An 18,553-nucleotide genomic window follows, 5' to 3' on the forward strand; every position below is an offset into this window, starting at 1 on the left:
ACAACTGTAAGGTGTCATTCCTTGTACAATAGTTTGAACTCGTTTTAATGGCCCTGTGAAACTCTACTGCGTGGCTTGATATTACAGTTCTTGGGGTTTTTGTTTGGCCGGTAGTCCCTGTAGTTTCTCTCCCTGGACTGTGAATTCTTTGAGAGCACTGGTTGTGACTTACTCATGTTTGTATTTCCCACTACTCTTTATGTGAAGGAGGGGCTCAGTATTGCTGCTGAACTTTGTCACATGAAGGTTGAAACTTTTCATTTATGTCACTTGGTTTGGTGCTACACATAGATCAAAGGCTTTGGATAGCATGGATATCAGCGACAGTTTGAAGAAAGAAATATGGATGTGATCAGAGGAGTTCAGGGAGACATACATAAAAATGTTAATCACGGTTTTCTTTATGTTGTATACACTTCTGCATTGCTTAAATATTTGATGAGCATATATTACTTTTTGTTTCTGTGTTTATTGGGGCATAACATGTACACAGTATGTGTATACCTTGATAAATTTTTACATGTATATACATATGTACGTGTATGTATGTGTGTATACATATGTACGTGTATGTATGTGTGTATACATATGTACGTGTATGTATGTGTGTGTATACATATGTACGTGTATGTGTGTGTATACATATGTACGTGTATGTGTGTATACATATGTACGTGTATATGTGTGTATACATATGTACGTGTATATGTGTGTATACATATGTACGTGTATATGTGTGTGTACATATGTACGTGTATGTGTGTGTATACATATGTACGTGTGTGTGTATACATATATACACGTGTATAGATACGTGTATACATATATACATGTCTATATATACATGTATATACTCACACACATATATATATCCATGTAATCCCCACCCAAAACAAGATATAGAGCCTTTCCAAGACCTGAGGATTCCCTTATGTACCTTCACCGGCCATAAATTCCCAAAGTAACCATTATTCTGATTTCTGTCACCATAGATTGATTACTTGAGCTGATTCTTGAACTTCTCATAAATGGAATCAGACAATATGCAATCTTTTGTGTTTGGCTTCTGTCACTCAACAAAATTTTTTTTTTTGAGACGGAGTCTTGCTCTGTCGCCCAGGCTGGAGTGCAGTGGTGTGATCTCGGCTCACTGCAACCTCCGCCTCTCGGGTTCAAGTGGTTCTCCTGCCTCAGCCTCCCAAGTAGCTGGGACTGCAGGTGCGTGCCATCACGCCCAGCTAATTTTTTTTTTCTTTTTTTTTTCGAGATGGAGTCTCGCTCTGTCGCCCAGGCTGGAGTGCAATGGTGTGATCTCAGCTCACTGCAACCTCCACCTCCTAGGTTCGAGTGATTCTCCTGCCTCAGCCTCCTGAGTAGCTGGGATTACAAGCACACGCCACCATGCCCGGCTAATTTTTGTATTTTTAGTAGAGATGGGGTTTCACCATGTTGGTCAGGCTGGTCTTGAACTCCTGACCTCATGATCCGCCCACCTCAGCCTCCTAAAGTGCTGGGATTACAGGCATGAGCCACCACGCTCCCAGCTAATTTTTTATACTTTTGGTAGACACAGGGTTTCACCATGTTGGCCAGGCTGGTCTCGAACTCCTGACCTCAAGTCATCCGCCCTCCTCGGCCTCCCAAAGTGCTGGGATTACAGGTGTCGGCCACCACACCCGGCCTCAATATATGTTTTTGAGATTCATCCATGTTGTTGAATGTAGAAGTATTTTTTATTGCTGTGTAGTATTCCATTGCATAATTATACTACAATTTATCCATTCCATTATTGATGGGCATTTGCTTGTTGTTTGGGCCTCTTAGGAATAAAACTGCTATGAGCATTCTTGTACAAGTATTTTGGTGAACATATGCACTTATTTCTTCCAGGTAAATACTGAGGAGTAGAATAGCTATTCTATTTTATTTAGCTTTTGTCCATACTGCTAAATAGTTTTCTATAGTGTTTGAACCAATTTATATCTTTATCAGCAATGCATGAGAGAGTTCTAATTGTTTTACATCCTCACCAGTATGTGGTATTGGTAGTCTTCTTGCAATGAAAGTTTATTACTTTTTGGCTGGGCGCTGTGGCTCATGCCTATAATCCCAGCACTTTGGGAGGCTGAGGCGGGTGGATCGCCTGAGGTCAGGAGTTCGAGAGCAGCCTGGCCAACATGGTGAAACCCCGTCTCTACTAAAAATATAAAAACTAGCCGGGCGTGGTGGTGGGCTCCTGTAATCCCAGCTACTCGGGAGGCTGAGGCAGGAGAATTGCTTGAACCCAGGAGACGGAGGTTACAGTGAGCCGACACGGTGCCACTGCACTCCAGCCTCAGTGACAGAGTGAGACTCCGTCTCAAAAACAAAAAACAAAGTATATTACTTAAAAAATTTTTTTTTCTTTTTTTGCCTGGGCATGCCAAAGACCGCACCTGGCTTTTGTTGTTGTTGTTGTTGAGACAGAGTCTCACTCTTTAGCCCAGGATGGAGTGCAGTGGCACGATCTCCACTCACTGCAACCTCTGCCTCCTGGGTTCAAGCGATTCTCCTGCCTCAGCCTCCCAAGTAGCTGGGATTGCAGGCATGTGCCACCGTGCCCAGCTAATTTTTGTATTTTTAGTAGAGACAGGGTTTCACCATGTTGGCCAGGCTGATGTCAAACTTCTGACATCAGGTGATCCGCCTGCCTCCACCTCCCAAATTGCTAGGATTACAGGTGTGAGCCGCCACGCCTGGCCTAATATTTTATTATTTTTATTTTAAAATTTTACTTTTTTTTGAGACAGAGTCTTGCTCTGTCACCCAGGCTGGAGTGCAGTGATGAGACCTTGGCTCACTGCAACCTCCACTTCCCGGGTTCAAGCTATTCTCCTGTCTCAGCCTCTCGAGTAGCTAGGATTACGGGCATGCACCACGATGCCCGGCTAATTTTTGTATTTTTAGTAGAGATGAGTCTTCACCATGTTGGCCAGGCTGGTTTTGAACTCCTGACCTCAGGTGATCCACCTGCTTCGGCCTCCCAAAGTGCTGGGATTACAGGCGTGAGCCACTGCACCCGACCTATAGTATTTTGTTATAACAGCCCAAACGGACTAAGACCCATCGATACTGATCCACTTTCAGGTTCTTAAACTTCGAGCTCTTTCCTGCCTTCATTGTGTCTGCCTATGCTGTTTCTTCTGCCTCCTCCTTAGCCCATCTTTCAGGCCTTGCCTTATATATGGCTTCCTTCCTCAGAGACATTTTCCCTGCACTTCAGTGTTATTTTGTCTCGTATCACCTTCCCGTTTTCTTAATCACCATGTGTGCTGATGTATTTGTATGTTTATTTTCTATTTAATATGTTTACCGAGTAGGCAGTAAATTCCAAGGCAACAGTCCATTTTGTTTTTGACTGGACATTTGGCACCAAGCCCAGTTATCTGGCACACAGTAGATAATAATTACTTATTGAATAAATGAAGGCTCGGAAAGTTGGGGAAATGTGAGTGAAGGAGAAAACGAAAACGTGCTGGGCTGAGAATCCTGTTGAAGAGTTTTATTTGGCCGGACACGGTGGCTCACGGGTGTAATCCCAGCACTTTGGGAGGCCGAGTCAGGTGGATCCCGAGGTCAGGAGTTTGAGACCAGCACGGCCAACATAGTGAAACCCCGTCTTTACTTTTTTGTTTGTTTGTTGAGACGGAGTCTCGCTCTGTCACCCAGGCTGGAGTGCAGTGGCGTGATCTCGGCTCACTGCAAGCTCTGCCTTCCAGATTCATGCCATTCTCCTGCCTCAGCCTCCCGGGCAGCTGGGACTACAGGTGCCCACCACCACGCCTGGCTAATTTTTTTGTATTTTTCTTTTTTTTTTTTTTTTTTTTTTTAGCAGAGATGGGGTTTCACTGTGTTAGCCAGGATGGTCTTGATCTCCTGACCTCGTGATCCTCCCACCTTGGCCTCCCAAAGTGCTGGGATTACAGGCATGAGCCACCGCGCCCAGCCCCGTCTTTACTAAAAATACAAAAATTAGCCTGGTGTGGTGGCATGTGCCTGTAGTCCTAGCTACTCGGGAGGCTGAGGCAAGAGAATCGCTTGAACCTGGAGTTGCAGTGAGCTGAGACCGTGCCATTGCACTCCAGCCTGTGTGACAGAGTGAGACTCCGTCTCAAAAAAAAAAAATTATATACTGGATGGCTTATAAACAACATAAATTTATTTCTCACAGTTCTAGAAGCTGGAAAGTTCAATATCAAGATGCTGGCTGATTTGATTTCTTCTGAGGGCCTGCTTCCTAGTTCATAGACAGCCATCTTCACATGGCAGAAGCAGGCTAGGAAGCTCTCTGGGGTTCCTTTTATAAGGGCTCTGATCCCATTCATGAAAGCTCTACCCTCATGACCTAATCACCTCCCAAAGGGCCCACATAATACCATCACATTGGGGGCCAGAATTTCAATATATGAATTTTGAGGGGGACACAAACATTTGGTCTCTTGTAGGCTAGGACACCGCAAGAGGTGGGGGAGAATTGTACAAAATGAGGTTGGAAAGGGAGGCAGACACCAAATCAGGTAGGCTTGGCCATATATACCTCTAATCTTTCTAATTGGGACCCTTCTAGCTTTGCAAACTCAAGATTTACCTCCTCCAAGAAGGCTTCCTGTATAATACATACCACATTGTTCTAATTATTATTATTTTATTTTGTTTGAGATAGGGTCTCACTCCTTCACCCAGTCTGGATGTAGTAGTGTGATCTTGTTTCACTGCAGCCTCAACCTTCTGGGCTCAAGTGATCCTCCTGCCTCAGCCTCCCAAGTAGCTGGGACTACAGGTATGTGCCACCATGCCTGGCTAATTTTTGTATTTTTCGTAGAGATGAGGTTTTGCTATATTTTGCCCAGGCTGGTCTTGAACTCCTGGGCTCAACTGATCTGCCAGCCTCAGCCTGCCTAAGTGCTGGGATTGCAGGCTTGAGGCACTGTGCCCAGCCAATATTACTTTTTTTTCTTTTTTGAGATGGAGTCTCACTTTGTCACCCACGCTGGAGTGCAGTGGTGCGATCTCAGCTCACTGCAACCTCCACCTCCTGGATTGAAGGGATTCTCATGCCTCAGCCTCCCGAATAGCTACGATTACAGGCACGTGCCACCACACCTGGCTAACTTTTGTATTTTTAGTAGAGATGGTGTTTCACCATGTTGGCCAGGCTGGTCTCGAACTCCTGACCTCAAGTGACCAGCCCACCTTGGCCTCCCAAAGTGCTGGGATTACAGGCTTGAGCCACTGTGCCCAGCCAATATTACTTTTTAAATTACATTATTGTTCCAATAACTTCACTTTGTAATTTATAGGCCATTCCCTCCCTCCCGTTCTTTCCCTTGCCTTTTCTTTCTTTCCTTTCTCTCTCTCTCTCTTTCTTTTCCAGACAGGGTCTTGCATTGTTGCCCAGGCTGGAGTGCAGGGGTGTGATCATGGCTTACTGCAGCCTCAACCTCCTGGGCTCAAGTGATCCTCCCACCTCAACCTCGAGTAGGTGATACCACAGACACATGCCACCATGCCCTGTTAATTTTTTAATTTTTTGGTAGAGATAGGGTCTCCCTATGTTGCCCAGGCTGGACTTGAATGCCAGAACTCAAGTGATCCTCCCGCTTCAGCCTCCCAAAGTTCTGGGGTTACAGGTGTGAGCTACCACACCTAGTCCTCACTCTGTTTCTTGAGAATATGTATTATTTACCCACTGGACGAATGACAGGGCCATGTATTTTCTCTTTCACCTGATCTCCTCCAAGCACCCAGCATATAAGGGATGCTCTGTTCACAGTAAGAGTCTTCCTGGGCACTGTACCTAGAAAGGTTCTGAAATATTAACAGATAATCCCTGGGGTCCCCTCTTCCCTGGCATGATAACTAAGCCAGTTCCAGGTCTTCAGAAACTTGTCATAGGACAACCAGGTGTTACCAGAATCCATGCATATTGTCCCAAACACCTTCCTTATTTCTGTAGTCAATTTTGTGCCTCCCTCTCTCTAACCAACAGATAAAAGGCACCCACTCCTGCTGCTAAGGCAATAAAGCTAGGGCATTCAGCAGGGAACTCAGGTTGGTCAGCAGAAAAAGAATCTCTCAGCTGTGAGAGAGGAAAGGGAGCAATGCATTTCTAAGGGCGAGTTTTCATAAAACAACAAAGCAGATGTCAGTTGCGGCTGGTCATATTGAAGGCATGTGAAGAGATCGGGCTGCGGAGGAGAAGATCCCTGATGCTGTTAACAATGCAAGGATATCTTAAGGTGAGAAGCCAGAGTTTTTGACAACTTATATGTGACAAGGAGTATGCCTGTGCATGCTCCATTTTTAATAGACCTCCACCTCTTGCCCTGAAATGCGTTTATTTTATTCTACTTACTTTAATTTTAGCAATGATGTAAAACTGTATTGCTGGGCTGCTGTCACTGTCTCTGACAGATCACCCTACCACCTGAAAGGGTAAATATGGGTTTTTTTTCCATAATTTTTGTACAGTAACAACATGAGGAACATTTTAGCTCATAAATTATTTACTAAACCTCACAGGCATAATAGGCCGTGTGCATATTCATCAGGCTATCATCCATTATTCATAAGAAGTTCACTTCAACTGTTAGAAGAAAATGAGGTTGTTGATTGAAATGCTGAAGAAATGTGGGCTTTTGTACTCCCCCCCTTCCCGCTCTCATCTGAGCAAGTCTGGAAGTTTCCATCAAAAAATGATATTACAGGAAAAAAATGTTATTCCTGACAAGTGAATATGTAGATAGAGGGAAAGCAAGCATGAAGTAGGAAATAAATGGGCAGAATCAACCACTATTCATTTAATTCAAATAATGTCCCCTGACCCCAGCTTCCACAGAGTCTGTGCCCAAGGGGACCCCTTTCTTGCAATAAAAGATCGGCTTCTGCAAATCTGGTAGAGTTATTGCATATATATATATATATATATATATATATATATATATATATATATATATATTTTTTTTTTTTTTTTTTTTTTTTTTTTTTTGAGACAGAGTTTCGCTCTTGTCATCCAGGCTGGAGTGCAGTGGCGCAACCTCAGGTCACTGCAACCTCCACCTCCCAGGTTTAAGTGATTCTCCTGCCTCAGCCTCCGGCACAGCTGGAATTATAGGCATCAGGCATCTGCCAACACGCCCGGTTAATTTTTGTATTTTTAGTTGAGATGGGGTTTCGCCATGTTGGCCAGGCTGGTCTCAAATTGCTGACCTCAGGTGATCCGCCCACTTTGGCCTCCCCAAGTGCTGGGATTATAGGCGTGAGCCACCGTACCCAGCCAGTTATTGCTTATATTAACTAAGATACAGGTTGCATCCTATGGCTTAAGAAGTATTTATTCTTATCTTCTTATTTGACCCTCACACCAAGTCTGTGAGGAATAATTTTCCTTTTTCTTTCTTTCTTTTTTTTTTTTTGACAGGGTCTTCTTACTCTGTCACCCAGGCTGGAATGCAGTGGCACAATCATGGCTCACTGCATCCTCTGCCTCCCAAGTTCAAGCGTTCCCCCTGCCTCAGCCTCCTGAGTAGCTGGAACTTCAGGCACACACCACCACACCTGGTTAATTTTAATTTTTTTGTAGAGACAGGGTCTCCCTAAGTTGCCCAGGCTGGTCTCAAACTCCTGGGCTCAAGCTATCCACCTGCCTTGGCCTCCCAAAGTGTTGGGATTCCACTGCGCCTGTGGAATAATTTTGAAGATGAGAAAACAGCCTCAGAAAACTGAGAAAGATGAGCAAACTGAAACTCACAAGTTAAGTGACTTGTCCAATGCCGATAAGCTTATGAGAAACAGAACTAGGACTGGAACCTAAACTTCCTTCCACATCCCATGTTTTGTTTATTTATTTTCGTAGAGACAGAGTCTTGCTATATTGTCTGGTCACAATGTAGGCTTGTCTCAAACTCCTGGCCTCAAGCAATCCTCCCTGCCTCAGCCTCCCAAAGTGTTGGGATTACAGGTGTGAGTCACCATGCCTGGTCCACATCCCGTATTCTTTTTTTTTTTTTTTTTTTGAGACAGAGTTTTGCTCGTCACCCAGGCTGGAATGCAATGGTACAATCTCGGCTCACTGCAACTTCCACCTCCTGGGCTCAAGTGATTCTCCTGCTTCAGCCTCTTGAGTAGCTGGGATTCTCCTGCCTCAGCCTCCCAAGTAGCTGGGATTACAGGCATGAGCCACCACACTTGGCTAATTTTGTATTTTTAGTAGAGACGGGATTTCACCATGTTGCCAAGGCTGGTCTCGAACTCCTGACCTCAGGTGGATGATCTGCCCACCTCAGCCTCCCAAAGTGCTAGAATTACAGGCGTGAGCCACCGTACCCAGCCCACATCCTGTATTCTTAATATTCTGTCTTACTAAGTCCTCTGGATGGTAAAACCCACCATTCCCAAGATAACAGGTATTTCATTGTGTTCTCTATGAACCACTGATTTATTTTCCTTTTTTAATATCTTTATTATTTCTGTGGAATACAAAAGCAATATACGCTTGAAAGCACTAAACAATACAAAGTTCCGTAGAATAGAGAATAACAAACGTCCCAGCTATCGACAGGCAGCATATGGACTGCCGTGACTGCCAATGTCTACAGCCACCTCCATTTCCATAGGAAAAAGTGGGAGATGTGATCAGGTCAGACCCACAGATACAGGTTGAGATCTCGGCATGGTCACTTACTGGTATATAATGTTGGGCAAATTAGCCTCTTTAAGCCATCATTTCCTTATTTGTAAAATGGGGCTAATGCCTACTCTTGAGATTTTTGTGTTAAGTGAGATAATGTATATAAAATCCAGGTGTCAGCATTTTCCTCCATTTTAAGGGTTACTTTTCTTGAGTATATTTGAAGAAGTGGGATGGGAGGCAAGGTTTGTCTCATGCCTTTCCCTCAAGTCTTCTGCTTGACACTGACTTCCATTCTGCCTTGGGCCACTCACTTGCCTGCAGGTCACAGCCTAGAACTCCTGGTGTGGTTCCTCTACATGAAAGGCCCCTAGATTCACAGTGGGACACAGGTGTGAATTCTTTGCATCATGACTGCACAAGGTTGTTCTTTACTAAAGTGTTGGGGGGACAACTAAAGGGAATTACAATAGTGGAAAGTATTAAAACTTTGTGGGTTTTTGTTTTTGTTTTTTGAGACAGTCTCACTCTGTCGCCCAGGCTGGAGTGCAGTGGTGCAATCTCGGCTCACTGCAACCTCCAACTCCCAGGTTCAAGCAGTTCTCGTGCCTCAGGCTCCCGAGTAGCTGGGATTACAGGCTTGCGCCACCACACCCGGCTAATTTTTCTGTTTTTAGTAGAGACGGGGTTTCGCCGTGTTTTGTTTTGAGACAGGGTCTTGCTCTGTCACCTGGGCTGGAGTGCAGTGGCATGACTGCGGCTCACTGCAGCCTTGACCTCTTAGGCTCAAGCGACCCTCTTGCCTCAGCCTCTCAAGTAGCTGGGACCACAGGTGCCCACCACCATGCCCAGCTAAACTTTGGTTTTAACTTTCCCTATAATCTAAGTGAAAAGCCGCCAAGAAGTTTAACCTTTATTACGGAGTGTCAGGTCTACCCTGGCTCCCTGTCCTCAGGTCTGCTTCCCTCGCTAGGAACATCTTCAACCCTCCATTCCTTCCTGGGAAGCCCCAGGCCCTGCCTCTCTCTGGTCCCTCAGCTGTCCCCAGAAACACATTTCCCCAAATCTGACCCATTCAGTCCATATTCAGTCTAGATTCTGGATTTAAGGCTAGAGGGGTGAGAGTGAGTCAGTGACTGTGTATGTGTGTATGTGCGTGGGGCCCGGTGCAACAGGGAGAAGGTGGCACAGCAGCCTTGTGTGAATGAGCTTTGGCATATAGTCCCTCCAAGTAGGACTGTCTCGGGGAGGCTGGTATTCCCTCCAGTCTGAGTAAGACACAGATGAAGCTCTGCTCTTCTGAGTACCCTGGATAACCTTTGGTCTCGAACTACTGGCCTTAAGCAATCCTCCTGCCCCGGCCTCCTAAAATGTTGACATTACAGAGCCACTGTGCTTGGCCTTTTTTTTTTTTTACTTTTTTTAATTTTTAATTTTTTTAGAGTCAGGGTCTCACTTGTCACCCAGGCTGGAGTGCAGTCATGCGATTATAGCTCACTGCAGCCTTGCACTCCTGAGTTCATGCAATCCTTACCTCAGCCACCCTAGTAGCTGGGACTACAGGCCTGTGCCACCATGCTTGGCTAACTGTTTTACATTTATTATGCAGAGCAGTGTTAGTGACTCTCCTACAAGGCTTGCCAGGAATAAGAAATGAGGGTACTTTTTTTTTTTTTTTTTTGAGATGTATTCTCACTCTGTTGCACAGTCTGGAGTGCACTGGCATGGCATGATCTCTGCTCACTGCAACCTCCGCCTCCCAGGTTCAAGTGATTCTCATGCCTCAGCCTCCCAAATAGCTGGGATTACAGGTGCATGGCACCACACCCGGCTACTTTTTGTATTTTTGGTAGAGGCGGGGTTTCACCATGTTGGCCAGGCTGGTCTCAAACTCCTGACCTCAAGTGATCTGCCCGCCTCAGCCTCCCAAAGTGCTGGGATTACAGGCGTGAGCCACTGTGCCTGGGCCTAAGCCATATATCTTATAATAGCTGTTCCCTTAGTTACACAAAGACTAGATAAAGCTTTGAAAAAGTTGCTTCAAAGAGGCCGGGTACAGTGGCTCACATCTGTAATCCCAGCACTTTGGGAGGCCAAGGTGGGCGGATCACTTGAGGCCAGGAGTTAAAGACCAGTCTGGCCAACATGGTGAACCCCATCTCTGCTAAAAATACAAAAATTAGCCGGGTGTGGTGGGACGCACCTGTAATCCCAGCTACTCGGGAGGCTGAGGCAGGAGAATCGCTTGAACCCAGGAGGTGGAGGTTGCAGTGAGCCAAGATCGCACCACTGCACTCCAGCCTGGGTGACAGAGTGAGACTCCATCTCAAAAAAAAAAAAAAAAAAAAAGTTGCTTCTAAGAGAGATTGGATTCTTTCACAAAGCTCCAACTCCTTTGGGCTAGGAAATAGGTTGTTTTGTTCTTCTGGTTACATAAGTGAAGAGCACAACACATAGTAGGTGTTGAATAAAGGTACATAAACAACTATAGTCAACCTAATTAACCGGGACTAGGATAAGCTTGTCCAACCCTCGGCTTGCAGACCACATGTGGCCCAGGATGGCTTTGAATGCGGCCCAACACAAACTCGTAAACTTAAAACATTATGAGATTTTTTGGTGATTTTTTTGGTTTTGTTTTTAGCTCATCAACTACCATTAGTGTTAGTGTATTTTATGTGTGGCCCAAGACAATTCTTACAGTGTGGCTCAGGGAAGCCAAAAGATTGGACACCCCTGGACTAGGGGGCCCAGCAGGAAGAGTCACTATCATTCTGTGAGTCCTCACATCACAGCTTACCCATCTCCAATGTGGCACTTACCAAGTGCTGCTGTAATTTTCCTTTTAGCATCCATCTTGCCCAAGGCACATTAAGATTCATTAGCTGTCGACTGGGCACAGTGGCTCACACCTGTAATCGCAGCACTTTGGGAGGCTGAGGCAGGCTAATCCCTTAGCCCAGGAGTTTGAGGCCAGCCTAAGCAACACGGCGACACCCCATCTCTACAAAAAATACAAAAATTAGCTGGGCATAGTGGCACGCGCCTGTAATCCCAGCTACTCAGGAGGCTAAGGCAGGAGGATGGCCTGAGCTTCTGAGAGCAAGGCTGCAATGAACCATGATCGTGTCACTGCATTCTAGCCTGGGTGACAGAGTGAGACCCTGTCTCAAAAAAAAAAAATGAAAACAAAAAAATTAAAGCTCGGGCACAGTGGCTCACACCTGTAATCCCAAAAATGTGGGAGACCAAGGTGGGCTGATCACTTGAGGTCAGGAGTTGAGACCAGCCTGACCAACATGGTGAAACCCTGTCTCTACTAAAATTACAAAAATTAACCAGTGTCGTGGTGGGACCTGTAGTCCCAGCTACTTGGGAGGCTAAGGCAGGAGAATCACTTGAACCTGGGAGGTGGAGGTTGCAGCGGGCAGAGATCATGTCACTGCACTCCAGCATGGGTGACAAAGCAAGACTCCCTCTCAAAAAACAAACAAAAAAATTCATTAGCCATCATGCTTGGGTTTTCCTCATCCCAACATTATTATTTTAAAAAAACAGCCTTATTGAGGTATTGTTAGTTGACATAAATTGCTCATGTTTAAAATATACACCCGGCCGGCCGGGCGCAGTGGCTCACGCCAGTAATCCCAGCACTCTGGGAGACTGAGGTGGGCAGATCACGAGATCAGGAGATCGAGACCATCCTGGCTAACACCGTGAAACCCCGTCTCTAATAAAAAATACAAAAAATTAGCCGGGCGTGGTGGCGGGCGCCTGTAGTTCCAGCTACTCGGGAGGCGGAGGCGGGAGAATGGCACGAACCCAGGAGGTGGAGGTTGCAGTAAGCTGAGATCGCACCACTGCACTCTAGCCTGGGCGACAGAGCGAGACTCCATCTCAAATAAATAAATGAACAAAATAAAATAAAATATACACCCAGCTGGGCGCGGTGGCTCACATCTGTAATCCCAGCACTTTGGGAGGCTGAGGCAGGCAGATCACCTGAGGTCAGGAGTTCCAGAGCAGCCTGGTCAACATGGTGAAGCCCCACCTCTACTAAAAATACAAAAATTAGCCAGGCATGGTGTCGGGCACCTGTAATCCCAGCTACTCAGGAGGCTGAGGCAGGCAGAAGAATCGCTTGAATCCGGGAGGTGGAGGTTGCATTGAGCCGAGATTGCGCCACTGTACTCCAGCCTGGGCAACAAAGCGAGACTCTATCTCAAAAAAAAAAAAAAAGGCACACCCATGAAACCATCACCACAATCAAGGCAATGAGTATATATTCATCAGTCCCAGAACTTTCCTACATTCCATTTACAACCTCCTTCCTTCCCCTTCTGCTTCCCTTCACAGCAACCATTGATCTGCTTTTTATCACTATAGTTTGTATTCCTAGAATTGTATATAAATGGAATCCAACGGGCACAGTGACACATGCCTGTAGTTCCAGCTACTTGAGAGGCTGAGGTGGGAGGATTCCTTCAGCCCAGTTCAAGGCTGCAATGAACTATGACCACGCCTATGCACTCCAGCCTGGGCAATATAACAAGACCCTATATCTAAAAAAAAAAAAAAAATTCTATAGTATGTATTCTTATTTTAAAAATCTGCTTCCTTTACTGAGCATAGATTATCCATGTTGTTTTGTGGATCCATACTTTATTCCTTTCTACTGTATGGCATTAAATTTGTTTATCCATTTACCTGTTGGTAGACACTTTCATTGCTTCTGATTTTTGGATATGACAAATAAAGCTGTTATAAATATCCATGTATAAGTCCTTGTGTACCCATGTGTTTTCTTTTCTCTTGGGTAAATACCTAGGAGTGGAATGGCTAGATCATGTGGTGTATGGATGTTTAACTTCTAAAGACCCTGCCAAACTGTTTTCCAAAGTGGTTGCACCATTTTGTTCTTTCTTATTATGACCAGCAGTTTGCCCTGACAGAGGTTGCACCATTTAAGATTTTAACCAGAGTGTGTGAGAATTCCACTTCCTCCACATCCTCTCCAACACTTGATGTGGTCAGTCTTCTTTTACTTATTTTTATTTTTTAAAATTTAAACAGAGATGGGGTCTCACCATGTTGCCCAGGCTAGTCTTGAACTCCTGAGCTCAAGTGATCCTCCCAAAGTGCTGGGATTACAGGTGTGAGCCACTGCACCCTGTCCAGTCTTAATATTAGCCATTGTAATAGGGAAGCCAACATTGTTTTAATTTTTTGACTAGGTAAGCATTCACATGGTTCAATGTTTTTGTTTGTTTGTTTTGGAGCATCATCCAGGCTGTAGTGCAGTGGCTTGATCTCGGCTCATTGCAACCTCCATCTTCCAGATTCAAGCGATTCTTCTGCCTCAGGCTCCCAAGTAGCTGGGATTACAGGCGTGTGCCACCACACCTGGCTAATTTTTGTATTTTTAGTAGAGACGAGGTTTCGCCATTTTGGCTAGGCTGGTCTCGAACTCCTGACCTCAGGTGATCTGCCTGCCTTGGCCTCCCAAAGTGCTGGGATTACAGGCGTGAGCCACTGCGCCCAGCCTCATTTTTTTTTTTTTTGAGACAGGATCTTGCTATGTCATTCAGGCGGGAGCCCAGTGGTGCCATTATCTTCACTGCAGCCTCGAACTCTTGGACTCAAGTGATCCTCCCACCTCAGCCTTCCAAGTAGTTGGGACTATAGGTATGTGCCACCACACCAGGCTAATTGATTTACTTTTGTGTGTGTGGAGATGGGGTGTCATTATGTTGCCCAGGCTGGTCTCGAACTCCTGGCCTCAAGTGATCCTCCTGCCTTGGCCTCTCAAAGTGCTCGGATTATAGGTTCAAATATTTTTAAACGTCTAAAAAGTATATAGTAAAAAGTCACTTCCACCTTTGTCTCACATCCTCCACTCCCTCTCCCCCTTATGTAACCACTTTTATAGGTATTTTGTGTATCCTTCCAGAATTTCTTTACTCAAATTCTGATGAATATTCTTGGTTTCCCTGCTCTTTGACATAAAAAGTATCATATTGGCCAGGTGCGGTGGCTCACGCCTGTAATCCCAGCACTTTGGGAGGGCGAGGCGGGTGGATCTCTCGAGGCCAGGAGTTCGAGACCAGCCTGGCCAACATGGCAAAACCCCGCCTGTACTGGAAATACAAAAACTAGCCAGGCATGGTGGTGCACACCTGTAATCCCAGCTACTTGGGAGGCTCAGGCACAAGAATTACTTGAACCTGGGAGGCAGAGGTTGCAGTGAACCGAGATCACGCCACTGCATTCCAGCCTGCGTGACAAGAGTGCAACTCTGTCTCAAAATAAAATAAAAAATAAAATAAATAAAATGTATCACACTAAGTATATGGTTTTGAATCTTTCCCTTTTTTATTTAAAGAACACCTTGGAGTACTTTCTCATTCTCTGTTGCAGCCACATAGTATTTTATTGTATGGATGTATCAAGATTTATTTTTTCTGTTTCCTATTGATAGAAATATGGGTTATTTCTAATCTTTTGCTGTTACAGAAAAGCTGCAATGAATAGCCTTATACATACGTTTCTCGTGAGTGCAAATATATCTGTAGAATCACTCCCATTAGTGGGAATGGTATGTTTGCAAGTTTGATGGATATTGCCAAATTAACCTTATAGGATTTGTACCAATTTTCACCCCCATCACCAACAAATTAGAATGCCTGCTTATCCACAGCCCTGCAAATAATGTTAGCAAATGTTTGGATTTTCGCCAATCTGATAATGATATCGGTGGGGTTTAATCTGCCTTCTGATTACGACCCAGGCTGAACATCATTTCATGTGTTAGGGAGTCATTTGTTTTTCCTTTTCTGTGAACTGTCTGTCTGTAAATGTCATTTGCCATTTTTTTCTAATGGTTGATCATATTCTTACTGATGTCTAAGAGTTCTTTACATGCAGGAAGATTAGCTCTTTGTGATGTAAATTACAAATATATTTTTCCAATTTGTCATTTGACTATATGGAGTTTTGACTTTGTAGAAATTTTGTCCTGACATTAGTCCTGGAACTAGTCCAGTTGTTTCTGCTTCCTGGATATTTCTGGAATCCCCCCATTTCTCTCTACTGTACTGCCTCTTCCCTAGGCCAGTCTGCCATCATCACACCTAAATGACTAAATTTGATTCTAAATGGTATCTCAGACATACGTCCACTCTTGCCCTTTCTTTAACCTATTCTATATTCTTTAGCAACCAGAGGGATTTTTCCTTTTCTTTTCTTTATTTTTTTGAGATAGCCTCTATCACCGAGGCTGGCAGAGTACAGTGGTGTGACCACGACTCACTGCAGCCTCGACCTCCCGGGCTCAAGCAGTCCTCCTATCTCAACCCCTCGAGTAGCTGGGATCACAGGTGCGTGCCTCTATGCCTGGATACTTTTTTAGAAATTTCTTGCCGAGATGGGGTTTCACCACGTTGCACAGGCTGGTCTTGAACTCTTGGGCTCAAAGAATCCTCCTGCCTTGGACTCCCAAATTGTTGGGAATGCAGGCATGAGCCACTGTGCCTGGCCCAGAAGCATTTTTCTAAAAGAAAAACACAAGCCAGGAGCAGTGGATCACGCCTGTAATCCCAAGTTTGGGAGGCCGAGGCAGGAGGATTGCTTGAGGCCAGGAGTTCTAGACTACTCTAGGCAACAAAGTGAGACTCTGTCTCTATAAAAAATTTAAAATTAGCCAGGCATGGTGGCAAGCACCCACTGTCCCAGCTACTCGGGAGGCTGAGGTGAGAGGATGAACTGAGACCAGGAGTTCAACGTTGCCGTGAGCTGTGACTGCACCACTGCACTCCAGCTTGGGTGACAGAGCAAGACCCTGTCCCAATCAATCAATCAATCAAACAAAAACAAGATCATATCACTTTCCTGCTTAACATTCTTCAGTGGCTAACTAGTGCCCTTAACATAGAATCCAGTATCTTCATGTGGGATCTTACATGGGCTCTAAGGCGTCCCTGCAAGGTCTGGCTCACAGTTCTTCAGCGTCAATTTTTTTTTTTTTTTTTTTGAGACAGAATCTTGCTCTGTCACCCAGGCTGGAGTGCAATGGCACGATCGCGGCTCACTGCAACCTCCGCCTCCCAGGTTCATGCAATTCTCCTGCCTCAGCCTCCCAAGTAGCTGGGATTACAGGCACGCACCACCATGCCCAGCTAATTTTTGTGTTTTTAGTAGAGACGAGGTTTCCCCATGTTGGCCAGGCTGGTCTCGAACTCCTGACCTCAAGTCATTTGCCCGCCTTGGCCTCCCAAAGTGCTGGGATTACAGGCATGAGCCACCGCACCCGGATCTTCAGGGTCATCTTTTATCAGTCCCCTTACCAGTATGCTCTGGCTACACTGAACTCTTTCATGCCCTCCCCCTCTATAAGCCTTCTCACCTCTAGGCCTTTGCATAAGCAGTTCCCTCTTCCAGGAACCCTCTTCACTTGCTTAACCTGCTCTCACCCTTCAGATTTCATCTCAGACATCACTTGCATCAGGAAACCTTCCCTGACTACATCAGAATAGAGTAGGTGCCTCACCTATGTGTTCTCCTCACACTCCATGCTGTCTTTATGTCAGCACTAATCATATTATGTGTTCACTTTTCTGTCTCTCCCATTAGGTAGACCATAAATTCCATGAGAGTATGGACTATGCCTGTCTCTTCATTATTATTTCCCTAGTGCCTGTCACAGGGCCTGGCACATAATAGGTGCTCAAAAAATATTTGTTAAATTAATGTAAGAAAGAATGTTTGATAAATGACCAAATAAACATCTTCATCTCATTGGGGAATCTACGAGAATGAAGAAAATGCCAAAGTTTGATCCTGTTCAAGAAAGTAGCTAATTACTACTACTTTTTTTTGTAGAGATGAAGTCTCACTATGCTGCCTAGGCTGGTTCTGAACTCCTGGCTCAAGCGATCCTCCTGCCTAGGCTGCCCAAAGTGTTGGGATTACAGGTGTGAGCTGTTGCACCCAGCCACCATTTACTTCTTAATTCCACCTGCCAGAGAAAGCACTGGCCTGCAACTCTTTCATTTTTGTTAGTAATCTCATTTGGCTCTGCCCTGGTTTTCCCAATGCCCAGGTCCCACTGTGACAAGCAAAATACCCAACAACCTGTAAAGTAGGCCTGACCAATCTGAGGGCAGTTTACATGAGCAGGAGGTAGGCCCAGGAGAGTTCCTGGGTCCTAAGAGTTAACCCTTTAATCATTGGACAATGGAGGTGGCAAGATCGCTTGAGGCTGGAAATTCAAGACCAGCCTGGCCAACACAGGGAGACCCCATCTCTGTATTAAAAAATGAATAGCACGTGCCTGTAATCCCAGCTAGTCGGGAGGCTGAGGCAGGAGAATCGCTTAGAACCCTGGAGGCGGAGGTTGCAGTGAGCTGAGATTGCGCCACTGCACTCCAGCCTGGCGACAGACCAAGCCTCTGTCTCAAAAATAAATAAATAAATAAATAAATAAATAAATAAATAAATAAATAAATAAAAATAAGGCTCGGCGCAGTGGCTTATGCCTGTAATCCCAGAACCTTGGGAGGCCGAGGCAGGTGGATCACCTGAGGTCAGGAGTTCGAGACCAGCCTGGCCAACATGGTGAAACCCCGTCTCTACTAAAAAATACAAAATTTGCCGGTCGTGGTGGCGGGCACCTGTAATCCCAGCTATTCGGGAGGCTGAGGCAGGAGAATTGCTTGAACCCAGGAGGCGGAGGTTGCAGTGAACCGAGATCATGCCACTGCACTCCAGCCTGGGCGACAGAGCAAGACTCCATCTCAAAAAAAAAAAAAAAAAAAAAAAGAAAAGAAAAAATTAAAACTTTTTTTAGAAAGAAAGAAAACCAGCCTGGCCAACATAGTGAAACCCCGT

General features: G+C 45.2%; 1 annotated feature.

The window, feature by feature from the left end:
- Positions 1,021-1,200: a silencer, noted in NCBI's record as "fragment chr12:51614127-51614306 (GRCh37/hg19 assembly coordinates)". NCBI's record gives its function as "represses an EF-1alpha promoter that drives an FKBP-Casp9 reporter gene in an ReSE screen in K562 erythroleukemia cells {active_cell/tissue: K562}" and the evidence as "EXISTENCE:reporter gene assay evidence [ECO:0000049][PMID:32094911]".

Source organism: Homo sapiens, chromosome 12 (assembly GCF_000001405.40).
Source record: "Homo sapiens chromosome 12, GRCh38.p14 Primary Assembly".
In the NCBI taxonomy this organism is placed as follows: domain Eukaryota; kingdom Metazoa; phylum Chordata; class Mammalia; order Primates; family Hominidae; genus Homo; species Homo sapiens.